The sequence below is a fragment of the Homo sapiens genome, chromosome 19, assembly GCF_000001405.40.
Source record: "Homo sapiens chromosome 19, GRCh38.p14 Primary Assembly".
NCBI lineage: Eukaryota > Metazoa > Chordata > Mammalia > Primates > Hominidae > Homo > Homo sapiens.
Genome location: NC_000019.10, coordinates 45,129,723 through 45,149,659, shown reverse-complemented (window position 1 = coordinate 45,149,659; position 19,937 = coordinate 45,129,723). Strand labels below are relative to the sequence as shown.

Sequence of the window (19,937 nt, the reverse complement as noted above, 5' to 3'; positions counted from 1 at the left end):
GGAAGGGGAAGACAAGATGGCAAGGGGGATCCTCTCAGCCTCCAGCCCTCGATCTGGGACCCTTCAGAAAATCAGGAGCGCGGCAGGCTGGGGTGTTGTGGTAACGGCTGTGGTTTCTAGAGCTGCTCTAACACAGTCTAACAGACCACGTGCCTTTGAAGGACAAATGTATCGTCTCTCGCTTCTGGAGGCTAAAAGTTCCAGATGAAGGAGGGGCTCTCTGTGCCTGCTCCCCACTCCTGGTGCATTGCTGGCCATCTCCGCACTCCCTGGCTTGCAAAGGCATCACCCCATCCTCTGTCTTCACGTGGCAGTCTCCCTGTGCCCAAATGCCCCTTTTAATAAGGACACCAATCAGACTGCAGCAGGGCCCACCCGAGTGACCTCATTAAAATGAGTTAAAACTTGATTACCTTTGTAAAAACCCTATTTCTAAGTGAGCTCACATTCTGGGGTACTGGAGGTAAGGACTTTAAAGATCTTTTTTTGGCCAGGCGCAGTGGCTTACGCCTGTAATCCCAGCACTTCGGGAGGCCGAGGTGGGCAGATCACGAGGTCAAGAGATTGAGACCATTCTGGCCAACATGTTGAAACCCCGTCTCTACTAAAAGTACAAAAATTAGCTGGGCGTGGTGGTGCACGCCTGTACTCCCAGCTACTCGGGAGGCTGAGGCAGCAGAATTGCTTGAACCTGGGAGGCGGAGGTTGCAGTGAGCCGAGATTGCGCCACTGCACTCCAGCCTGGCAACAGAGCGAGACTCCAGCTCAATAAATAAATGAATAAATAAATAAACAAACATCTTTTTTTGTGGGAGACACAATTCAACCCCCAACAGTAAGAAAGGCCCAGTTCCTCACTCCAAGCTCAATTTAGTGAAAGCAAATCAAGGGACAGGCTGGGAAGAGGATCCCTGTCCCTCCCCTAGCATACCTCACATGGGGTGGGGAGGCAGACGGCCAGCGGGCTGGGTGAGACCCCAACACAGCTGCCTCCACAGAGGCTGAGACCATGAGCAACGGCTAATATCGACCAAGGGCCTCTGAAGATCGTTGGGGCACTGTGCTGACCCAAACCAGGCGAAGGACAGAGGTCTCTCAGTACCTTGATGCAAACACCTCACATGCCCCGGCCCCTCACCAAGACGGGCTGGATCCACAGTGGCCAGGAGGGGGCCCCTTCTTCCCTTCACCCATGGCCACATCGCACATTAGCAGAGCTGGGGACAAGCTGGCTGTGCAGGGATGGGAAGAGTGCTGCGGGCTGCTGGCGGCTGTTCTGTGTAGCTTCCCTAAGTCCCTCGCCCAAATAAGAGTCCTAGCCGTGGCTGACCTGGGGAGCAGTTAGGACACTTACAGCTGCAAGGGACCAAACAGCAAACCAGCAGTGGCTTCCTAAGGTGTTCCTCCCAGAGGCCAGGGTGGCTGGGGGCAGGGGACTCCCTGGTGTGTGCAGGAGCTGAATGACACCAGGGCTCCAGCCTGCGACTGTGGTTCTCGTGATGTCACCACAACGCCTCCATCCATGTCAGCCTCCCACACGGGAAACAAGGGGATGGGTGGCCCAGAAATGCTCGTTTAGTAATTTTTTTTTTTTTTGAGACAGGATCTCACTCTGTTGCCCAGGCTGAAGTGCAGTGGTGCAATCACACCTCACTGCAGCCTCAACCTCCTGGGTTCAAGCGATCCTCCCAACTCAGCCTCCTCAGTAGCTGGGACTACAGGCACACGCCACCACACCCAGCTAATTTTTGTATTTTCTATGGAGATGGGGTTTCACCATGTTGCCCAGGCTGGTGTCAAATTCCTGGGTTCAAGCAATCCTCCCACCTCAGCCTCCCAAAGTGCTGGGATTACAGGTGTGGGCCACCATGCCCGGCCTGCTCCCCCCTTTCCTAAAGGGAAAAACAGACCTCTCAGAAATCCGCAACAGCACCCCCATGGCCCCCCAGGCCCCTGCTGGCAAAGGGGAACAAGCCGCCCACCAGGCTCCTGCAGTGCTGGCTGGGCCCGGGGCATACTCCCACCTGCACAACACCTGGGGCTGCCAGGGACAGGCTGGGATCTGTTCCTGTTGAGCGATGGGCGACTGGGCAGAGCCACTCCATATCCAGCATCCTGAGACCCTAGACCTGAAGCCAGGAGGTATCTGGGGCCTGTCTCTCCCTGCAGAAAGGATGGGTGTAAACTCGCCTGGCTGGGAGGTGACCGTACGAGACACCAGAGCATGGATGCAGAATAGACGGGACTGTGGGGGAAGACGCAGTAATGCCTGACCAGTGCCCTGGCAGATGCTCTGTAACCAGGAGCTGTGATGGCCTCCACCCAGCCCACCCCCAGCAACCACCTCCAGGATCCGCACGAAGCAGACGTTGGGCAAAGTGAACCCAGCCCCAGTTTATTAGAAAAGGTGTGAACAGAGTTGCACCGACAGGAGTAGCCCCAGCCCTCTGCCCACCCTCACCCACACCCATGCCACTCGCCCCCAAAGGGCTGTAGTGCCTCTCAGGGCGCAGCCTCCAGTGGCCTGGACAGCAGGGTCCCGGAGTGCCGGCTGCTCCCGCCCCAGCTCCCTGATAGATTTATTGCACTTGAGAAAAAGAAAGCTCTGATCCTCTGCTCCCATCCCCCCACCCTGCCCGGCCTGCGCTGTCTGGGGCTGTTCTGTGCATCTCAACCACCACCAGCACGCACCGCCTCTCCGGCACCAGGCTGCCTGCCCGGCCCTGTGCCCGGGGCCACAGGGGACCATCCCACCACCACCCAGGACGCCTGCCCTCCGCAGGGCAAGCCTGGCCCCTCCAGAACAGGCGCCTGATGTCCTTGGAGACCTCCTCCTCCTCCTGCTCCCCCTCCTCCCATTCACCCCCAGAGTCTTCCAGTGCTGGGCTCATAAATAGAAGTGCTTGAGTCACGCGCGGAGGGCCACTCCCTGTAGCTCCTGCACCCCTTGTAGTGTTGCTGTGGGGGGAGGGGGGCCCCAGAATGGCCCCCACCCCTGGCATCCTGGGCCTCAGGAAGGCTGGGGGGAAGGTGAGCAGATTCTCATGGCTCTGGCCTCAGCTCATCGCAGACCGACCGGAAAAAGGGAACTTGGGGAGGAGAGATTGGGGGAGAGACTGTCAGAGCCAGAGGCTCTCTCAGCTCCTCCCGAGTGCTGTGGGCCCCGGGCCTGGCCTCACCTAAAGTGTCACAGTGTCTCCTGCCCGGATTCCTGACTGGCTTCCAGAAGCAGCTCCTCGAGCTCCTTCTCGTTCTTGGAGCAGCTCAGTTCTGTGTGGGAGGACGGGCCAGCACCCCCGTCAGGCGGGTGGGGCAAATACAACCTGTCCCCAGCCCGGCCCCAGCCAGACCCTCAGGGCCTGCAGAGTGCCCAGAGACCGCTGAGATGGTCAGGCTCAAGGCAGCACACCTTACATGCCCCCCCACCCCAGGAAGAGCTCCCAGGACCCAAGGGAAGCAGGGTGGAGATGAGAACTAAGCCCCACTTTGCTGGCCCCTGCGAGAACCATTTTAAAGAGGGGGAAACTGAGGTCCACAACAGGCAGGGGCTTGCCTGGGGTCACATACAGCACCCAGGGCCCCTCAACACCTGCCCTAGGGCCCCTCTCACCGTGCTCCAGGCCGCAGCTGCCCCCCTTGACCTCAGGCCCCGGGGGCGGCTCAGGGGGCAGTGCCAGGGCGAACTCGGGCTTCAGGCCGTTGGGCAGTGGTGGCCCTGACCGAGGCGGCTCCGGTGGTGGCTGAGGCTCAGAGGACCCTGTGTCCCGGGTGTCAATGGCCCCGGCTGGTGGTAGGGAAGGTGAGGCGGGTGGGGAGGGAGGGGGTGGGGGAGAGGGAGGGGTGGGGGACGCAGGGGGCTCTGCCCTCTCGGGCGGGCTCTCCACCCGGGTCACCACAAACACCTTGTGGCCCCGGCCCGGGCTGGACACGGAAATCCGCTGCTCGGTGGGTGTGGAGGGGCTGCCTGGGGGACTCCTGTCCCCAGGGCCCAGGGAGTCCGTGGGGGGCACCAGGGCAGGACAGGGGGTCTCGTCCCTCTCCCCTTCCTCTTCCTCCTCTTCCTCCCCATCCGAGTCCGAGTCTGAGTCTGAGTCCGGGCTGGGTGCGGGGCTGGGGGCCCCGTTCTGCACCCCAGCGGCGGGCTCGTCGTCGGGCTGGGGCTCGGTGGCGGTGGTCTCAGGCATGGAGGCCGACAGCTGTGGCGGCTGCTCCTTCTCCTCCCTCTCCCGCGCCAGCACCAAGTTGCGCTTGCAGCCGTTCTGGATCTCGGCCAGCAGCGCCTTCTGCGTCTCGATGAAGCTCTTCACCTGTGGCGGGAGCGCCTGGCTAGGGCTCTCAGGCCGGCCCCACCACCCGGCCTTCCGCCCGCCCCAGGGCTGCAGGACCGTCCCCTGCTCACCGCCTCTTTCTTGGGTTCACGGTCGAGGTCCAGGCGCAGCAGTGAGTGGTTCACCTTGAGGGCCAACGACAGTGCCATGAGCCCGCCTGTCTTGATCTCGTTCTCCCGAAGGTCCAGTCTCAGGAGGCGGGGGCTCTCAGCGATGAACTCCGCCACCGCCACCGCGCCTGGGGGGGCACCGCAGGGGCTGGCCACGGGCCCCACACCCGGCTGGCCGCCCGGCTGAGCCCACCAGCCCGCACCCTGGCCCGGCCCCGTACCCTACCCTCGCACGTGAGCTTGGTGGAGGCCAGCCCGAGGCGCAGCACGCTGCGGTTGCTGATGAGCCCGTTCTTGAGGTGCCGCACACCCTCGTTCCCGATGGGGTTGTGGCCCAGGTTCAGCGTCTCCAGGCTCTGAGTGTGCGGCTGGAGGGAGGGGGTGTGAGGGTGAGGAGGAGGCCGTGATGGCGGAGGAGACCCAGGAGGCCAAGTCAGGAAAGAAGCCGGGAAGAGAGCCAGGCCCGGGCGCTCCTTTTCTTTCGCGCGCCTGCGTGAACACCGGCGCCGTCCTGCCCTGCCGCAGGCCTGGCCTGAAGTCCCTCCTGTGCCTGAAGTCTCCCCAAATGCCAGGTCCCCCGTCCACTCCCAGCTCCCCAGGCACCCAGTCAGTCCCTACCCCCCACAGCCTGGGCCCCTGGCCAGGGCCTGGACCTTGAGCGCCCTGAAGCCCCCAAGGAGGGCAACTCTTATCCCGGGGTTTGAGCACACGAGTGCTCGCCCTGAGAGTCTCTGTACCTGAGTGGCTTGCTTTAAGCACCACATAAAAACTGAAAACCAGGCACGGTGACTCACTCATAATCCCAATACTTTCGGAGGCCGAGGTGGGGGGGATCACTCGAGGTCAGGAGTTCAAGACCGGCCTGGCCAACATGGTGAAACCCCGTCTGTACTAAAAATACAAAAATTAGGCCGGGCGCGGTGGCTCACGCGTGTAATCCCAGCACTTTGGGAGGCCGAGGAGGGTGGATCACAAGGTCAGATTGCGACCATCCTGGCTAACATGGTGAAATCCCCTCTCTACTAAAAAAATACAAAAAAATTAGCTGGGTGTGGTGGTGGGTGCCTGTAGTTCCAACTACTCGGGAGGCTGAGGCAGGACAATGGTGTGAACCCAGGAGGTGGGGCTTGCAGTGAGCGGAGATCGAGCCACTGCACTCCAGCCTGGGCGATTGAGGCTCCGTCTCAAAAAAAATAAAAATAAAAAATAAAAAAATTGGCTAGGCGGGGTGGCGGGCACCTGTAGTCCCAGCTACTTGGGAGGCTGAGGCAGAAGAATGGCTTGAACCCAGGAGGCGGGGGCTGGAGTGGCTGCAGTGAGCCTAGATGGCGCCACTGCACTCCAGCCTGGGTGACAGGATGAGACTCGGTCTCAAAAAAAAAAAGGAGATAATGAAAGAAGGGCTCCTCCTCAGGGAAAACAGGCACAGAAGCTGAATGAGGAAGCAGGTGGGGCTGAGTTTAAATCGTCTTGAACCTGCAGGATGGGCAGGACAGGAGCCGTCAGCTAGAGGCAACTGTGCTGAGAGCTGGAGTGGGAGGTGGCAGCGGGGACCGAGGTGCCTCCCTTCCCTGCCAGCCTGACTCACCAGTGTCATGCCCAGGAAGGCCATGCCTGTGTGCGTGAGCTGGTTGTTCCACAGCACCAGGGTCACCAGCCCCTTCCTCTGCTCCTTGAGGCCCTCGCAGATGTAGGCCAGACCTGGAGGAGGCCGGCAGTCAGAGCCCTGTCTGGGGTCCGGGTGCTTCCTGGGGAGGGGACTGCAGGGTAGGAGCAACCCCCTCTGCTTAGGACCTCCATGGAGGCCCCGCAGTCCCAGGCCTTGCCCTGCAGCCCTGCCTCGGCCTGGCACCCCTGGGCACACATCTGTGACCCCTGGGCCTGGGTGCCTGGATGACAGCCTCCACCAGATGCTTCTGATCTTTGCTCAAATGTGACCACCTCTGGCCCACCTCACCTCACAGCCAGCTCACTCCCACCCACAGTCACCACTGTCTCCCTCCAATGCAGATCCCACCATCTGACAGGCTGGAGATTTCACTCATCTTATCGTTGTCTCTCTAGACTGGAGTACAAACTCCCAAGGGCAGAGCCCTGTGTCTCCCTCCGAGCTGAGCCCAGGGGCCGACAGCCATGGCCCTTGGCAGGTGCTCAGTAGAGTGGGGTCTGGGCCTGCCACCTGGGGACACAGTGACCCACCCCACCCCTCCAGGATGCAACAGGAACGCCTCCTTTGACGGCTCCCCATTCTCTGCTCAACCCCCAGCATCAAACACCAGAGCTCCTCCCACTGCACTCACTGCTCCCGCGGTCTGGACCCTTTCCCAGGCTTCTCACAAGGCTGGTTCTGCTCCCAGCCTCCGGATGGAAGCCCAGAGGCCCCGCCCCACGGTGGTCTTCCCTCCTCTCCCATCTGAAAGCAGCCTCTAGCTGACCCTGTTATGGCAGCAACACTGCTTTCTTTTCAGATTGTAATTATTCACTTCGCCTCATCCTGCGGCTGTCAGCTGAGCTGTCTCCTCCTCCTGGAAGCCCTCCCTGGCCCCCAGACTGATCGGACCCCGCCTCTGGGCTCCACCAGCCCAGTCCTGCCCACTCTAGGTTGTCACTGTCTAGGGCGGGTCTGTCTTCCTCCTGGGAGCCCCAGCAGGACAGCGTTGGGGTGGTCTTGGCCATGTCTGTGTCCCCAGCACCACCTAGCGCAGGGCCGGGCAGAGTGGGTGCTGGGTGACGGGTGTGGGTGGGGTGGGCCACTGCACCCACCCGAGTCTAGCACGTGGTTGTTCCGGAGGTCCAGGATCTGCAGGGAGCAGTTGAACTTGAGCAGGTTACCCAGCTGGGCCGAGTCCTGCAGGCCGTTGAGCTTGTTGTCCGCCAGGTACAGCTCCCGCAGGTTCATGTTCATCTTCAGGGCCGTGGCTGGGGACGGGGAGGGGGCACGGTGACTGGGCAGGCCCCTGCCCCCCAACAGGCTGCACATCCTGCTCACCCTCCCGGGCTTGGGGCTCACCGAGCAGCATGAGGGGCCGCCCCGACAGGCTGGCGTTCTCCAAGTGCAGCACTGCCAGGCTGCTGCGGATGCGCAGGGCACGGGCCACGAAGGGCGCCGAGTGGTCCAGCAGGGGCGTGTTGCGGGCGTCCAGATACTGCAGGCAGCTCGTCTGCAGGGGCAAGAGGACAGGGGTGAGGCACTGGCTCAGGCCTGCCCCAGCACTCCCTGGCCCCAGGACCGCCCCAGCACTCCCTGGCCCCAGGACCTGTGCCCCCATGTCTCAATGAGCAACGAAGCCACAGCTGTCGTCTGGCTATGTCGCCTTGTTTTACAATGGGGGTAACTGTGGCTGGGGAGGGAAGGCTCAGCCTGGGGTCCTGTGGGTGAGCGAGGCAGGGCTGGTGGCAGCCAGGATCTCCAACTCCTGTGTGGCTGGGAGGTTACCAGATAGCCCCGTCCCGTCCCTCCACCCAGCCTTCACACAGGAGTGACGTGGGGATGGCGACCATGGCCACCTCCAAGGGGATGACATTACAGAAGGATGACATTACGGAAGGGAGAAGTTGGAGGTCATGAAATGCCTCGCAAGGAGAGAAGGGGCCAGGGGGCCTGGGGGCCAGGACACCTCTCGGCCCTGTTCTCCTGGCCTGAGGGCCAGGCCCAGCATCCCCACAACAGCCCACACTCAAGAGCTCATGCAGTCAGAGCCTACGGGCCATGCCCTGAGAAAGTGCCTCCCCGTGCTGGGAGCCTGAGCTGCCTCTTCCTGGAAGCCGAGAGGCGCCCACCTTGCGCATCATGTGGGCGGCCGCCTGCCAGCCCCGGGTGCCGATGTGCTTGTTGAAGGAGATGTTGAGGTGGGTGGCCGACTCGTAGTACTCGATCATGTCGAAGAGGGCCGAGGCACCCTGCGCATAGAGATTCGGGGGCTCAGCCTCAGCTCTGGGCTGCCCTGGAGGAGAGGCGTGGGCCCTGACACCGGGCCCCACCGAGAGACGATGGGTCCAGGGTCTGGAGAGAGCCACACGGGAGAGGAGGACAAGCACAGACAGGGCCCCGTGAGCCACGGGGACAAACCCTTTCCTTCTCTGCTGTAGTCAGTTTTGTTTTCTGTCACTTGCCCTCCAAAGTCCTTGACTGACGTGCTGAGTGACCAGGACAGGCCTTGGTGTTCCTGAGCCTGGGCCTCAGTTCTCCAGGTCCCCTGCCCCTGGATCCCGACACCTGGGGTGCCTGGGGACTCCCAAGGCTGAGGAGGTGAGGGCCCTTGGGCCTTGATGGGAGGCTGCTCTCAGAATGCTTCCCAAGCCCACCCTGTAGGAGCTGGACCCTCCAGCGTGGTTCCTGAAAGGGCTCCTGGGGGCCACACGCCTGCCCCTCAGCCCAGCTCCCTAAGGCTCTCCTTGCTTATGAGGGTGGGCCATAGGTGCCCCAACGCGCCCTCCACATCCACTCTGGTCATATTGGATGTCTCCCTCTTGCCCTGCAAGAGGCCCCGCCCTTGCGCCACCCCTCAGCCTTTGTCTAGGGGACCCCCTCCTCCTGCAGTGTCCTCTCCCCACCCAAACCTCGAAGGGGCCCGGGAGCTCAGGGAGCCAAGTGGGCGGTGGCAGGGCCGCTCACATCTTCATCCAGGTTTGTCTGCTCCAGGTCCACGACCTTGAACTGCAGCCTCTTGAAGACCTCTTCCAGGGCCTCACAGGTCTTGTAGTCAAGCTTCTCACCTGGGGGGAGACAGCAGCCGTGCGCATGTCTAAGACAGTGCACCTTTGCATGGCTGGAAGGGCCCTCTGCCCCCAACCTCCCACCCCCCACCAGGCCCAGCCCCTGCCCTGGCTGAGCTCAGCTCCAGAAGCCGCTAACCCCAGGCAGGTCCTCAGACCCAGCTCTAGGGAGCCCCCGACCTGCCCATGACCCAAGGGCTCTCAACCCCTAGCCAGACACACACCTTTCAGGTCCAGACAGTCGAGGCGGTGCCCGAGGTCTGTGAATTCCTGAGAAAGTAGAGTGGGGTTAAGGCAGGAAGACACTTGAACAGGGGGGCAGCCGAGGCCCCAAATGGCTGCTATGCCTGAGGTCAGGCAGGGTTCTGGGGTGGGGTTTGGGCGAAGGCACTGAACAGAGGCTCAGAGGCCACCCACCAGCTGGAACCTGGGGTACAGGGCCTTAGACAGCGAGAGAACTCTGCACCCACACAACTGAGGACCAGCCAGCACTGCAGCCAGGCAGGCCTGGGCGAAGCCCTCTGCCCCAGCGGGACCGAGTGAGGGAGTGGGCCCAGCATCTCTGGGTATGTCCCAGCAGAGGAGGGAGTCTGTGCAAAGGCTGTGAGGCAGGAAATGAGCCTGGGAAGATGGCAAGGCTGGGCACAGGAGGCTTCTTGGTGAAGGCAGGGCCTGGGGCCCAGCACCCAGTCAGAACCCACCGTCCCGCAGATGCCAGCACCCGCGCTCTGAGCTTACACACATCACCTGCAGGGTGGGTGCTGCAGGGCTGGTCTGAACCAGGCCGATGGGGTCCAAGGACCCACCCTCTCAGCTGCCACACTGAGCAGCCACCCTTCCTGGGACCTGACAAGCCCCTCTTCTGGAATGTTCCAGAGAACCTACCCTAACTCCAGTGAACACTGATGGACAAGGAGCGTGGTTGCTTCCAGCACAGCTGAGGGTACAACAGCCCGAGGACAGGCAACCCTGGAACCCTCGGAACGAGCGGTGCTTCACTGACTAGGCGCCAGGCCGGGGCCCACAGGAGAGGTGCCGAGGGAGGGGGCTGGGGGACCGGCAGGGTGGGAGAGCGACCAAATGGAAAACCAGCAGGTACCCCTCAATAGCCACCTTGCCAACGCACAGAAAAGGCCAGGAAATGCCGAGTGGCCAACAACGGGGGTTCCCGAGGAGGGGGCCTTGGGGCAAGAGATAAGAGGTGGATTTGGCTTTTCAGATCTGTAGTATTTTTATTTTTTTAAATCTGAGGATATGTGTTATTTCTGTAATTCTGACTTTTATGAATATGCTGGGCATGGTGGCTCATGCCTGTAATCTCAGCATTTTAGGAGGCTGAGGTGGGCAGATCACCTGAGGTCAGGAGTTTGAGACCAGTCTGGCCAACATGGCGAAACCCCGTCTCTACTAAAAATACAAAAAAAATTAGCTGGGCATGGTGGCGTGCACATGTAATCCCAGCTACTTGGGAGGCTGAGGCAGGAGAATCGCTTGAACCCAGGAGGCAGAGGTTGCAGTGAGCCGAAATGGCGCCACTGTACTCCAGCCTGGGAGACAAAAGCGAGACTCCATCTCAAAAAAAAAAAAAAAAAAAAAAAAAGAATACATAAATTTTGTAATTCAGACTCACAAGAATCGTAGATATGCCTCTTCCCCAGGGAACAGCGTTTCTTTTGGGGCTGACAGATACCTGAATGTCTTACTTTATAGAATTCTGTGCTCTTCAAATTTATGAAGAAACTGATTCATTCTCTAGCTGAGCAGCAGGCTTTCAAAGATGTATTCATGAACACCTGGGGCTGGGGAGTGGGAGGCCCTCTCCTGCTGGGCTGGTTCCACCCTAGGGCCCCCCTTGACACCCACACCGGACGCACCCACCCTGTCCCGCCCATACCTGCAGCTGCCTGAGGAGCTTGGGGATCTGCCTGCAGTTCAGCTTCTGGCAGGCCTGCTTGTAGGCGCCGATGACCTCGTCCACGGTCACATTCTGGGCTGCAGGCACAGGGGACCCAGGCCTGTGACTGTCCACACCCCGAGTCCTTCATGGGGCTCCACCCACTCCCGCCCTAAGGCCTCTGCCCATACTGCCCTCTTCAGCCCTCCCCCAACAACAGGCTGCCTGAGCTCTGTCCTCCCTTTCAGGCCCCCCGCTGGCCACTGCCCGAGGTAAAGTGCCCTTGGGCACCCCCACCCCAAGTCACCACTGCCCTCCACGCCTCACCTCCGCTCCAAGCACCTTCACACAAATACACAATGAACAGCACACAATCTTTCTACACATCAGCCACCTCCCCTACTAGCCCGGGAGCCCAGGAGGACAGGACTGGGGCTGTCTTGGTCACCACCATGTCTCCAACACTGTCTCGGTGTTTTGTTTGTTTTTGAGACAGGGTCTCACTCTGTTGCTCAGGCTGAAGTAAAGTGGTGAGAACATGGCTCACTGCAGCCTTGACCTCCCAGGCTCAAGCATCCTCCCGAGCAGCAGAGACCAAACGCTTGCACTGTCACGCCCAGATCATTTTTATTTCTGGTGGAGATGGGGTGTCACTATGTTGCCCAGGCTGGTCTCGAACTCCTGGGCTTCAGCAATCCTTCTGCCTCAGCCTCCCAAAGTGCTGGGATTACAGGTATGAGCCACTGTACTTGGTCCTTGGTTTGTTTTTTTTTTTTTTGTATTTTTGTATTTTTGGGTGAAAGAATGAATCCTCACTTCAACCCTATGAGGAAACCAAGCTCAGAGAAACAACCTTGCCCAAGATCACACACCTGGTATATATGCGAGCCGGGCTTTGAACTCAGCTCTCAACTACAATGCCACGTGCCTCTCAGGATCCCCACTCCCAAAACACTCTCAACAGCTAAACATCGCCGTACGCTATTCAGGGCCCGGCCCCTTGACGCAGGACACAGAAGCAGTTGGAAGAGACAGGCCTGGTCCCGGGTGTTCCCAGGCTAACAGGCAGTGGCTCCCAGCATGAATGAAGGGACGTAGCCCAAACCCAACAGCTGCAGCCCCGGTCCCTGGAGGGCCACAGCCGCCACCATGCGGAAGGGAGGGCTGGGCTTTCTATCTACACAGATTTGCCTTTTCTGGACATTTCATTAAAATGGAATTGAAACTGTGTGGCCTTCTGCGGTTGGCTTCTCTTACTGAGCATAATGAGCGTGAGTTTCAGTCCCTTTATACTGCTGAAGAGTAATTATAGGATGTGCTGCGTTGTGTTTGCCCATTCACCAGCTGACAGGAATTTGTACTGTTTCCAGTTTTTGGCTATTAGAGCTTGGATTTTACCTCAGGGTGACCAGCGGAGCAGGAAGGAAAGGCTAGGAGCAGAAGAGGGAGAGGTCAGGACTGGCCGTTAGAAAGATCTTCGGGCCAGCAGATATTGGGCATGGAGATGCCACAATGGGCAGGGAAGGGGGCCAGGAAGAGGGCTTGCTGGCAGCTTCTTGGGGGGGGGGCCCCTCGCCCTGCTGCCAATCCGCTGCTGCTGGACGCAGTGGGAGTCCCTGAGAGAGCTCCCAGTCCAGTAATATCTCCGTGTGGACTCCTCCTCCTGCCACCCTGCTAGGCCAGGGGCTCTGGACCCCTGGTCTCATCAAGCACTGCCCCATTTTCTAGGGGAAGAAGCTGAGGTCTGGGTAAAGTATGGTGTCTCCCTGGGACCAGGTGGCTGGTCCAGAGCAGAGTCTAACATCAGACCCTGGGACTCCGCTCTGGCCACTGTGCTGGGTGGCGGTGGGTTGCTGAACTGCGGTGCTGGAGGAAAGAAGCCGACAGAGGCCAGCCGCCAGCCTCCCCAGAGGTCAGGCCTGGTCCCTGCCTGAGCACTTCCTCCTCCTTGGGGGTGGAGGCCTGGGAGGAGCTGCAGGGGATCAGCTGATGGCAGGTGCCCCTCTTGCAGACAGAAAGGGAGCTGTCTGACAAAGGCCCATGTGCTTGGTGACCCTGGAGCTCTAGTGGGGACCGGAGCTTGCCCTGCCTGGGAAGGCAGCCCCCAGGACTGCAGCAGCTACCCCAAGCCATGGACAAGCCCATGCATGCCCTGGTCTTAACCATTTGACCCCCAAAGGGCCCACGAACTTGAGGGGAGACACTTATCTCTTTATTTTCATGAATGGAACTGAAATTTAGCATTTCCTTCTTATTAACAGAGGCCAAAAGAGAGAGAGAAAAGAAACAGTGTTTAGCAGACCTTGAGACTGACATGAAAAGAAACGACAGATATTTTCCCATTGCATCAAGTTACTGCAGATTCTGAATGCCCATCACTACTCTGAGACTGAAGGCCTTATTACAGCTGCTGCTACATCCTATCGCTTCACATGTCAATTCAGTGAGGAAGAGCATTTAGCTAATGATATTCCAACTGGCATCCTTTGCAATCCTATTTAATGTTTCGCCTTAAAAATCATCATTCCAGGCCAGGCATGGTGGCTCATGCCTGTAATCCCAGCACTTTGGAAGGCTGAGGTGGACGGATCACTTGAGGTCAGGATTTCAAGACCAGCCGGGGCAACACGGCGAAACTCAGCCTCTACTAAAAATACAAAAATTAGCTGGGTGTGGTGGCACGCTCCTGTAGTCTCAGTTACTCGGGAGGCTGAGGCAGGAGAATCACTTGAACCTGGGAGGCAGAGGTTACAGTGAGCCAAAATCGCGCCATTGCACTCCAGCCTGGGTGACAAGAGCCAAACTCCATTTCCAAAAAAAAAAAAAAAAAAAGGAAATGCAAAATTGGAGGAACTATCAGAAGCATAAGAAGAATTCACAAGACACACAGAGCAGCGCTGCCCACGGACTTCGTGCCAGGCGCTTCATCCAGGAGCGAACGCATCGACTCTGTGAAGCAGGGAGCCAGGCCAGGCCCACCCTAAGCTGTCCTCTGTGGCGGCTGAAGCCAGGGTTCAAGTCCTAGCCCCTGGCTCAGGAGCTCTGGAGCCACTCTCAACTCTCCACATTTCAGCTTCCTCAAGCTTTAAACGGGGAAGAGAAGCGTAGCTGTTTTACAGGGTGGGTGAACTAACGGAACTAAATCGTTTGTGGAGAAAGTCCGGCCCGGGCCTAGCACTGCAAACGCTTAGCAGCAGCTCATGTCACACCATTGCCAGGGTCCAGGATCAAGCTGGGGGTGGGCACCGCTGGGGCGAGGAGGCTGGCCCAGAGCTGGCTGTGGCATCAGGGTGGATACCACCATAACCCCTGACACAATGGCAGCCGGTCTCATGCATTGGGATGGCACCTCTTCTTTTTTTTTGAGACAGAGTTTCACTCTGTCGCCCAGGCTGGAGTTCAGTGGCATGATCTCAGCCCACTGCAACCTCTACCTCCCTGGTTCAAGCGATTCTCCTGCCTCAGCCTCCCGAGTTGCTGGAATTACAGGCACACGCCACCACACCTGGCTAATTTTTGCATTTTTAGTAGAGATGGGGTTTCACCACGTTGGTCAGGCTGGTCTCGAACTCCTGACCGCATGATCTGCCCACCTCGGCCTCCCAAAGTGCTGGGATTACAGGCGTGAGCCACCGTGCCCAGCCAAGATGGTGCCTCTTCTTTGTTCCAAGAGCCTCTGAGTGAGCTTGAGGCCCAGTTTCTAGGCTGGCAACCTTCACTCCCCACACAGCAATCAGACCACACCTTCAGCTGGGCACCTACAGGGTCTGGAACCAGGTCCGGCCTTGCAGGAGTCACCACCAGAGTCAGAGACCGAGGAGGTCACATCCGCCCAAGTGCTTACAGAAGCGCCGTAGAAATGCACTTCTACTAAAAATACAAAAATTAGCCGGGCGTGGTGGTGGGTTCCTGTAGTTCCACGTACTCAGGAGGCTGAGGCACTCTCAAGTAGTTGAGCCTGGGAAGTGAAGGATGCAGTGAGCCGAGATCGTGCCACTGTACTCCAGCCTGGGAGACAGAGTGACTCTGTCTCAAGAAAAAAAAAAAAAAGGAATGAGCACACCAAAACTAAGATTTTACAAATACTATTGCTTAGAAATGAGGCCAAATGTATTCAAATAAAAAAGAAACCAATCTATTAATAAGAAAAAAGAAAGAGCAGCATGGGCAGATCAGAGAGGAAGTTCGCGCTGACAGCACTCACACCCGCCAGGCCCATCCCCAGCACTTCCAATGCAAATAAACACAGCTTCAATTCCCTGATCACTTCCATCACGGGAGTATTAGTATCCTCCCACTTTAGAGAGGAGACTGGGCACATGGCTCACGCCTGCAATCCCAGCACTATGTGAGGCCAAGACAGGAGGATTGCTTTAGGCCAAGAGTTTGAGACCAGCCTTGCCAACAAAGCCAGTCTCTACAAAAAAAATTTCAGAAAAAAAAAAGAGAGGAGAAAACTGCGGCATGGGGCAGAGGTGCGATAACTTGTCCAAAGTTGCAGGGAGAGCAGCTGGCTGGCCCAGGATGGGCCCCTACACACACCTGTCCATTTAAAATGGTGTGAGGAGGTGGCTAAGAAGAAAATGGCAGCGTGAAACAGTTCATGAGCAGGCGTGGGTCAAAATAACTGACTCTGGCGTACTGAGCACTAACCACATGAGAGATGCTACCCGAGGCATTTCACACCCAGTTCCTCAGTATCTGCACTCAATGCGGACTCACGAGGGGAGGTGATGGGTCCACCACGTCTGACCACAGGGCCAGCTTGGACCCATCTGACTCTGCCATGTCACAGCCCACATGACCCCATGATGGACATGGAAAAGGTCATGTGATGCCCAGTGTCTCCTTTAAGGCAGCAGGAAGCAGGTGATCTTTGTCAGTCACGGCTTCCAGGCAGAGTGACTGAAGTCTCATAAAGGGGTGGGTCCCCAGGATCCAGGGGAGCATAGCCACAGGACCCCTATTCCACAGGCAAGGCCAAACAGCCATGGCAGGACTGTAGTTCATTCAAAGGCTTTGGTGTAGGGCCTGGGCTGGAGCTCAGAGCCAGGTTCCAAAGGGAAGGGCTGCGCAGTGGTTAGGGCACAGCTGTGGCCCTGAGGGATGGGGCTGGGATCTTTGCTGTCTCTCTCACACACTCAGTGACCTTAGGTGGGCTTCACAGCATCTCACAGGTCCCACCTGAGATATAGAGTCTTGCAATATGGTTAAGAACGTGAATTCTGGGCCGGGCGCGGTGGCTCACGCCTGTAATCCCAGCACTTTGGGAGGCTGAGGAGGGCAGATCATCTGAGGCCAGGAGTTCGAGACAAGCCTGGCCAACATGGTGAAACCCCGTCTCTACTAAAAATACAAAAATTAGCTGGGTGTTGTGGCGCATGCCTGTAACCCCAGCTACTCAGGAGGCTGAGGCAGGAGAATCACTTGAACCCGGGAGGTGGAGGTGGAGGTTGTGGTGAGCTGAGATCGCACCACTGCACTCCAGCCTGGGCAACAAGAGTGAAACTCCTTCTCACGGACACACAAAAAGAACATGAGTTCTGGGGCGAGACTGCCTGGAGTCAAATCCTAGCGCCCAACTCAAACTCTTGAGCAAAGCAATGTGACCCGTGCCTCAACTGTTTTATCCCTAAAATGGGGATGAGTGTAACTAACTCCCAGGGTCGTGTGGCGAGTGAGTGAGTTAGTAGGGTCCCTCCCTGGAACCAGTGCTTAGCACACACATATACATGCTCACTTGGTCCAGGGGTAGTGGCTCATGCCTGCAATCCCAGCACTTTGGGAAGCCAAGGCAGGAAGTTCCTTTGAGCCCAGGAATTCGAGACCAGCCTGGGCAACATAGGGAGACCTTGTCTCTACAAAAAACTAAAAAATCAGTTGGGCATGGTGGTGCGTGCCTGTAGTCCCAGCTACTTGGGAGGCTGAGGCAAGAGAATCACTTGAGGCCAGGAGTTCGAGACCAGCCTAGGCAACATGGTGATACCATCTCTGCCAAAAATTTAAAAATTAGCCAGGCGTGGTAGTGTGTGCCTGTAATCCCAGCTACTCGGGAGGCTGAGGCGAGAGGATCACTTGAAACCAGGAGTTCAAGACCAGCCGAGCAACAAAGTGAGACCCTGTCTCTACAAAACAAACAAAAAATACAAAAATTAGCACATGCCTGTGGTCGCAGTGACTTGGGAGGCTGAGATGGGAGGATAGCTTGAGCCTGGGAGTTTGAGGCTGCAGTGAGCTGTGATTGTGTCGCTGTACTCCAGCCTGGGCAATAGAGTGAGACTCTCTTAAAAAAAAAAGAAAAGAAAAAATACGTAACTGCTCCTTAGCTTTTACATTCCTCTTGTTTTTCCAGCATGCAGTAAATCCACCATGTGCACACAAGTATGTGGGGGTGGGCACGTGTGTGAGTGTGGGTCTCAAGGTCAGGGCTCAGATGCATTTGCTCAAGTCCAAGGCTCTGAAGGCCCATTAAGCAGGGACCAGAATTCAAGTGGCTGTCAGAGAGGAGGACAGGTGTGTTCAAAACACATGTGTTTGGGTGTGTGAGTATTTTCTACAAAGCAGGCATGTGTTGGGGATGGATCTGCAGAGGTAACGGCTTGGAATAAGAAGACCTGAGTTCCATCCCTGGCCTGCCGAGGCTGTGTTAAATGACCACAGCAACCTCTTTCCCTCCCTGAAAGGGACACCTGTGGGGTCGCAGGCAACAAGGGACGTGAGAGCACCCATGAAGTAGCTGGCACCAGTGTCACAGTGTGGCTTAGTCAGCAGGAGACACAAATGGAGAAAAACGTGATGATGGTGGTGGTGATGGTGGCAGCCACTTCCCGGTATCAGAAACTTACTCTGTGTAATGCATAGTGCTAATAAGCACTTTCTAAAAAACAAAGGGGTCAAGGTCTTGCTATATTGCCCAGGCTGGTCTTGAACTCCCAGGCTCCAGCAATCCTCCTGCCTCAGCCTCCCAAAGTGCTGGAATTACAGGCGTGAGCCGCCTCACCCAGCTCCTAAGTACTTTCCATGCACAATTTCACTTGGCCAGCTCAGCACCCCTATGATGCTGGCATAACTAGACCTCCATCTTATCAGGGAAGCAATCTGGGAGAAGAAAAGACACCTGCCCAAGGGATGGAGCCTGGAAGTGGCAGGACTGGAACACACCCCAGGACTGTCTTGACCTGAAACCACAGCACAGCTCAACTCTCGGCTCCCTTGTCTGGCCTGAGGAGGGGAAGGGCTGGGGCGGAGGCAGGGTGTGGGGAGCCCTGGGTGGGATGGTGAAAGGCATGAGCTCCAGGGAGAGATGCTGCTGTGCAGCAGCTGGCGGGCAGGGCCTTGCTGCTGCAGGGATGGGGCTCTGCCGCTCGCCCAGCAGGTGGCAGCCAGCTCCCCAGGGAGAGGATGAAGGGCAAACAGAGCTTGCCTCCCACTCCCGCCGGCTGTGGCCCTCACAAAGGGACAGAGAGAAACCTGACGCCGGGCATCAGGTGACAGGCAGAGAGATGTCTGTCTGGCATTTGCACACAGGTGCAATGGTACCCAAGAGATGCAAGGACAGGTTGGGCATCAGGGGGCGGTGATGACTCACACCATCCGTGCCAGCCTGGAGCAGGGCGGGGGAAACAGACACAGTCATCCAAGTGGGAGTCAAAACACCAGGAAGCAACACTGTGCGGGCTGGGGGACACAGTGGGAGGGTGTCAACTCTCAGAGGAGGGATGGGGAGGGAGGAAGTCCAGACAAGCCTGGAGCAGGAATATTTAGGGCTGCTCCGTAACAACCATGCTACCTCTGGCTGGAAATGACCTTCCCATGCCCCAGTGTCCACCACATGAAATCGGGACGTCTGCGAGCCAGGTTCACAGAGCACCAGAGTCAGGAGGTCCTAGCTAGGGCCCAGGGGCCCAGATTTTAACAGGTCCCCATATGACTGTGATGGCAACCAGGCTCAGAATAACCACGCTTTGCAATGCAGGTGTTATTTTGTTATTTTGGAATGAACAGAAAGGAGCCAGGGTGAGCTGGCCTTGAAAGGAGTGTTCCCAGAGGCCCCACCGGGCTCAGGTCTGGGTCTTCATTCAGGAGGCCCACTGCGCAGTCCCTGTGCAAACCCCGTGGCAGGCAGCAACCACTGGGGCAGGCTTAAGTGTGACGGTGGGAGCAGGCTCGGCGCCAAAGCACACCGGGAGGGGAGCACTGGGGATGATGTGGGACGGTGACCCCGTGGACCCTGGTGAGGACTTCGCTCTCATTCTGCAGGAGACCGGAGCCACTGGGGGCGAGGGGCAGAGCAGCAACAGGATGGATTCAGGCTCATGGGAGGATTGTATTCTGCAGGAGTGGGGTCCCCTGTAGTACTCACGGGGAGGGGACCTGATCGTGCAGGTTGGCAGTCAGGAATGGCACACCAGATTGCCATCTTGGATGGTGACAGCCTCACCTGTCCCTGGGTTTTGGCAGCTGAGCCCCCGCTAGTGCTCCAGCTCCAAGAGGGGTTGTGGGACACAGGCGAGTCAATGCCTGCAGCCCAGGCATCCCCCTGCTTGGCACCCTGCTGGTTAGGTCCTGTGCTGCCTGGACCCCACAGAAGCCCCCCAGCCACCCCAAGAGACATCCTTTTACTATCCCCTTTTCAGAGTCAAGGCTCACAGAGGCAAGAGTACAGACTAAAAGGCCCAGGTCTGCCTCGACTATTATTGTTTTTTTCCATATTAAACTTGTAGTTTTATTCAGGTTTGATTTTAACAAATGTGTTGGGGAGAGAGACCGCAGGGAAGGGTAAAGCCCATGGGGGCAGGACCCCTCCCCGCTCCTCCTTTTCCCTCCCCATCTAAAGGGGTTTGGGGAGAGGCACAGGTACGGCAGGGGGCTGGCCTTAGTCTGTGGGGG

General features: G+C 58.0%; 1 protein-coding gene across 1 annotated transcript in view, besides 6 other annotated features; it reads right to left on the bottom strand.

Moving 5' to 3' along the window:
- Nucleotides 1-2,374: 2,374 nt before the first annotated feature.
- The window catches only part of PPP1R37 (protein phosphatase 1 regulatory subunit 37), a 54,107-nt gene continuing 36,544 nt past the window's right edge, over nucleotides 2,375-19,937 (bottom strand). The window contains exons 2-13 of the mRNA NM_019121.2: nucleotides 11,049-11,146; nucleotides 9,379-9,424; nucleotides 9,054-9,154; nucleotides 8,219-8,338; nucleotides 7,449-7,599; nucleotides 7,202-7,357; nucleotides 6,027-6,139; nucleotides 4,665-4,806; nucleotides 4,400-4,566; nucleotides 3,611-4,307; nucleotides 3,180-3,270; nucleotides 2,375-3,089 (exon numbers count right to left, since the gene is read on the bottom strand). Coding sequence (NP_061994.1) covers nucleotides 3,188-3,270; nucleotides 3,611-4,307; nucleotides 4,400-4,566; nucleotides 4,665-4,806; nucleotides 6,027-6,139; nucleotides 7,202-7,357; nucleotides 7,449-7,599; nucleotides 8,219-8,338; nucleotides 9,054-9,154; nucleotides 9,379-9,424; nucleotides 11,049-11,146 — 1,874 coding nt within the window. The 3' untranslated portion in view covers nucleotides 2,375-3,089; nucleotides 3,180-3,187. The remainder of the gene's footprint in view (nucleotides 3,090-3,179; nucleotides 3,271-3,610; nucleotides 4,308-4,399; nucleotides 4,567-4,664; nucleotides 4,807-6,026; nucleotides 6,140-7,201; nucleotides 7,358-7,448; nucleotides 7,600-8,218; nucleotides 8,339-9,053; nucleotides 9,155-9,378; nucleotides 9,425-11,048; nucleotides 11,147-19,937) is intronic.
- Nucleotides 11,200-11,772: an enhancer, noted in NCBI's record as "H3K4me1 hESC enhancer chr19:45641146-45641718 (GRCh37/hg19 assembly coordinates)". NCBI's record gives its function as "activates a minimal SCP1, AML or CMV promoter by ChIP-STARR-seq in primed H9 embryonic stem cells {active_cell/tissue: H9 hESC(primed)}" and the evidence as "EXISTENCE:reporter gene assay evidence [ECO:0000049][PMID:30033119]".
- Nucleotides 11,951-12,050: an enhancer, noted in NCBI's record as "active region_14786". NCBI's record gives its function as "activates an Ori minimal core promoter by ATAC-STARR-seq in GM12878 lymphoblastoid cells {active_cell/tissue: GM12878}" and the evidence as "EXISTENCE:reporter gene assay evidence [ECO:0000049][PMID:35858748]".
- Nucleotides 13,322-13,522: a silencer, noted in NCBI's record as "peak3514 fragment used in MPRA reporter construct". NCBI's record gives its function as "represses an SCP1 promoter by STARR-seq MPRAs in K562 erythroleukemia cells {active_cell/tissue: K562}" and the evidence as "EXISTENCE:reporter gene assay evidence [ECO:0000049][PMID:32103011]".
- Nucleotides 13,657-14,461: an enhancer, noted in NCBI's record as "H3K27ac-H3K4me1 hESC enhancer chr19:45638457-45639261 (GRCh37/hg19 assembly coordinates)". NCBI's record gives its function as "activates a minimal SCP1, AML or CMV promoter by ChIP-STARR-seq in primed H9 embryonic stem cells {active_cell/tissue: H9 hESC(primed)}" and the evidence as "EXISTENCE:reporter gene assay evidence [ECO:0000049][PMID:30033119]".
- Nucleotides 19,115-19,409: a silencer, noted in NCBI's record as "tiled region #10789; K562 Repressive non-DNase unmatched - State 18:Pol2". NCBI's record gives its function as "represses a minimal TATA promoter and a strong SV40 promoter by Sharpr-MPRA in K562 cells {active_cell/tissue: K562}" and the evidence as "EXISTENCE:reporter gene assay evidence [ECO:0000049][PMID:27701403]".
- Nucleotides 19,430-19,931: an enhancer, noted in NCBI's record as "H3K27ac-H3K4me1 hESC enhancer chr19:45632987-45633488 (GRCh37/hg19 assembly coordinates)". NCBI's record gives its function as "activates a minimal SCP1, AML or CMV promoter by ChIP-STARR-seq in naive H9 embryonic stem cells {active_cell/tissue: H9 hESC(naive)}" and the evidence as "EXISTENCE:reporter gene assay evidence [ECO:0000049][PMID:30033119]".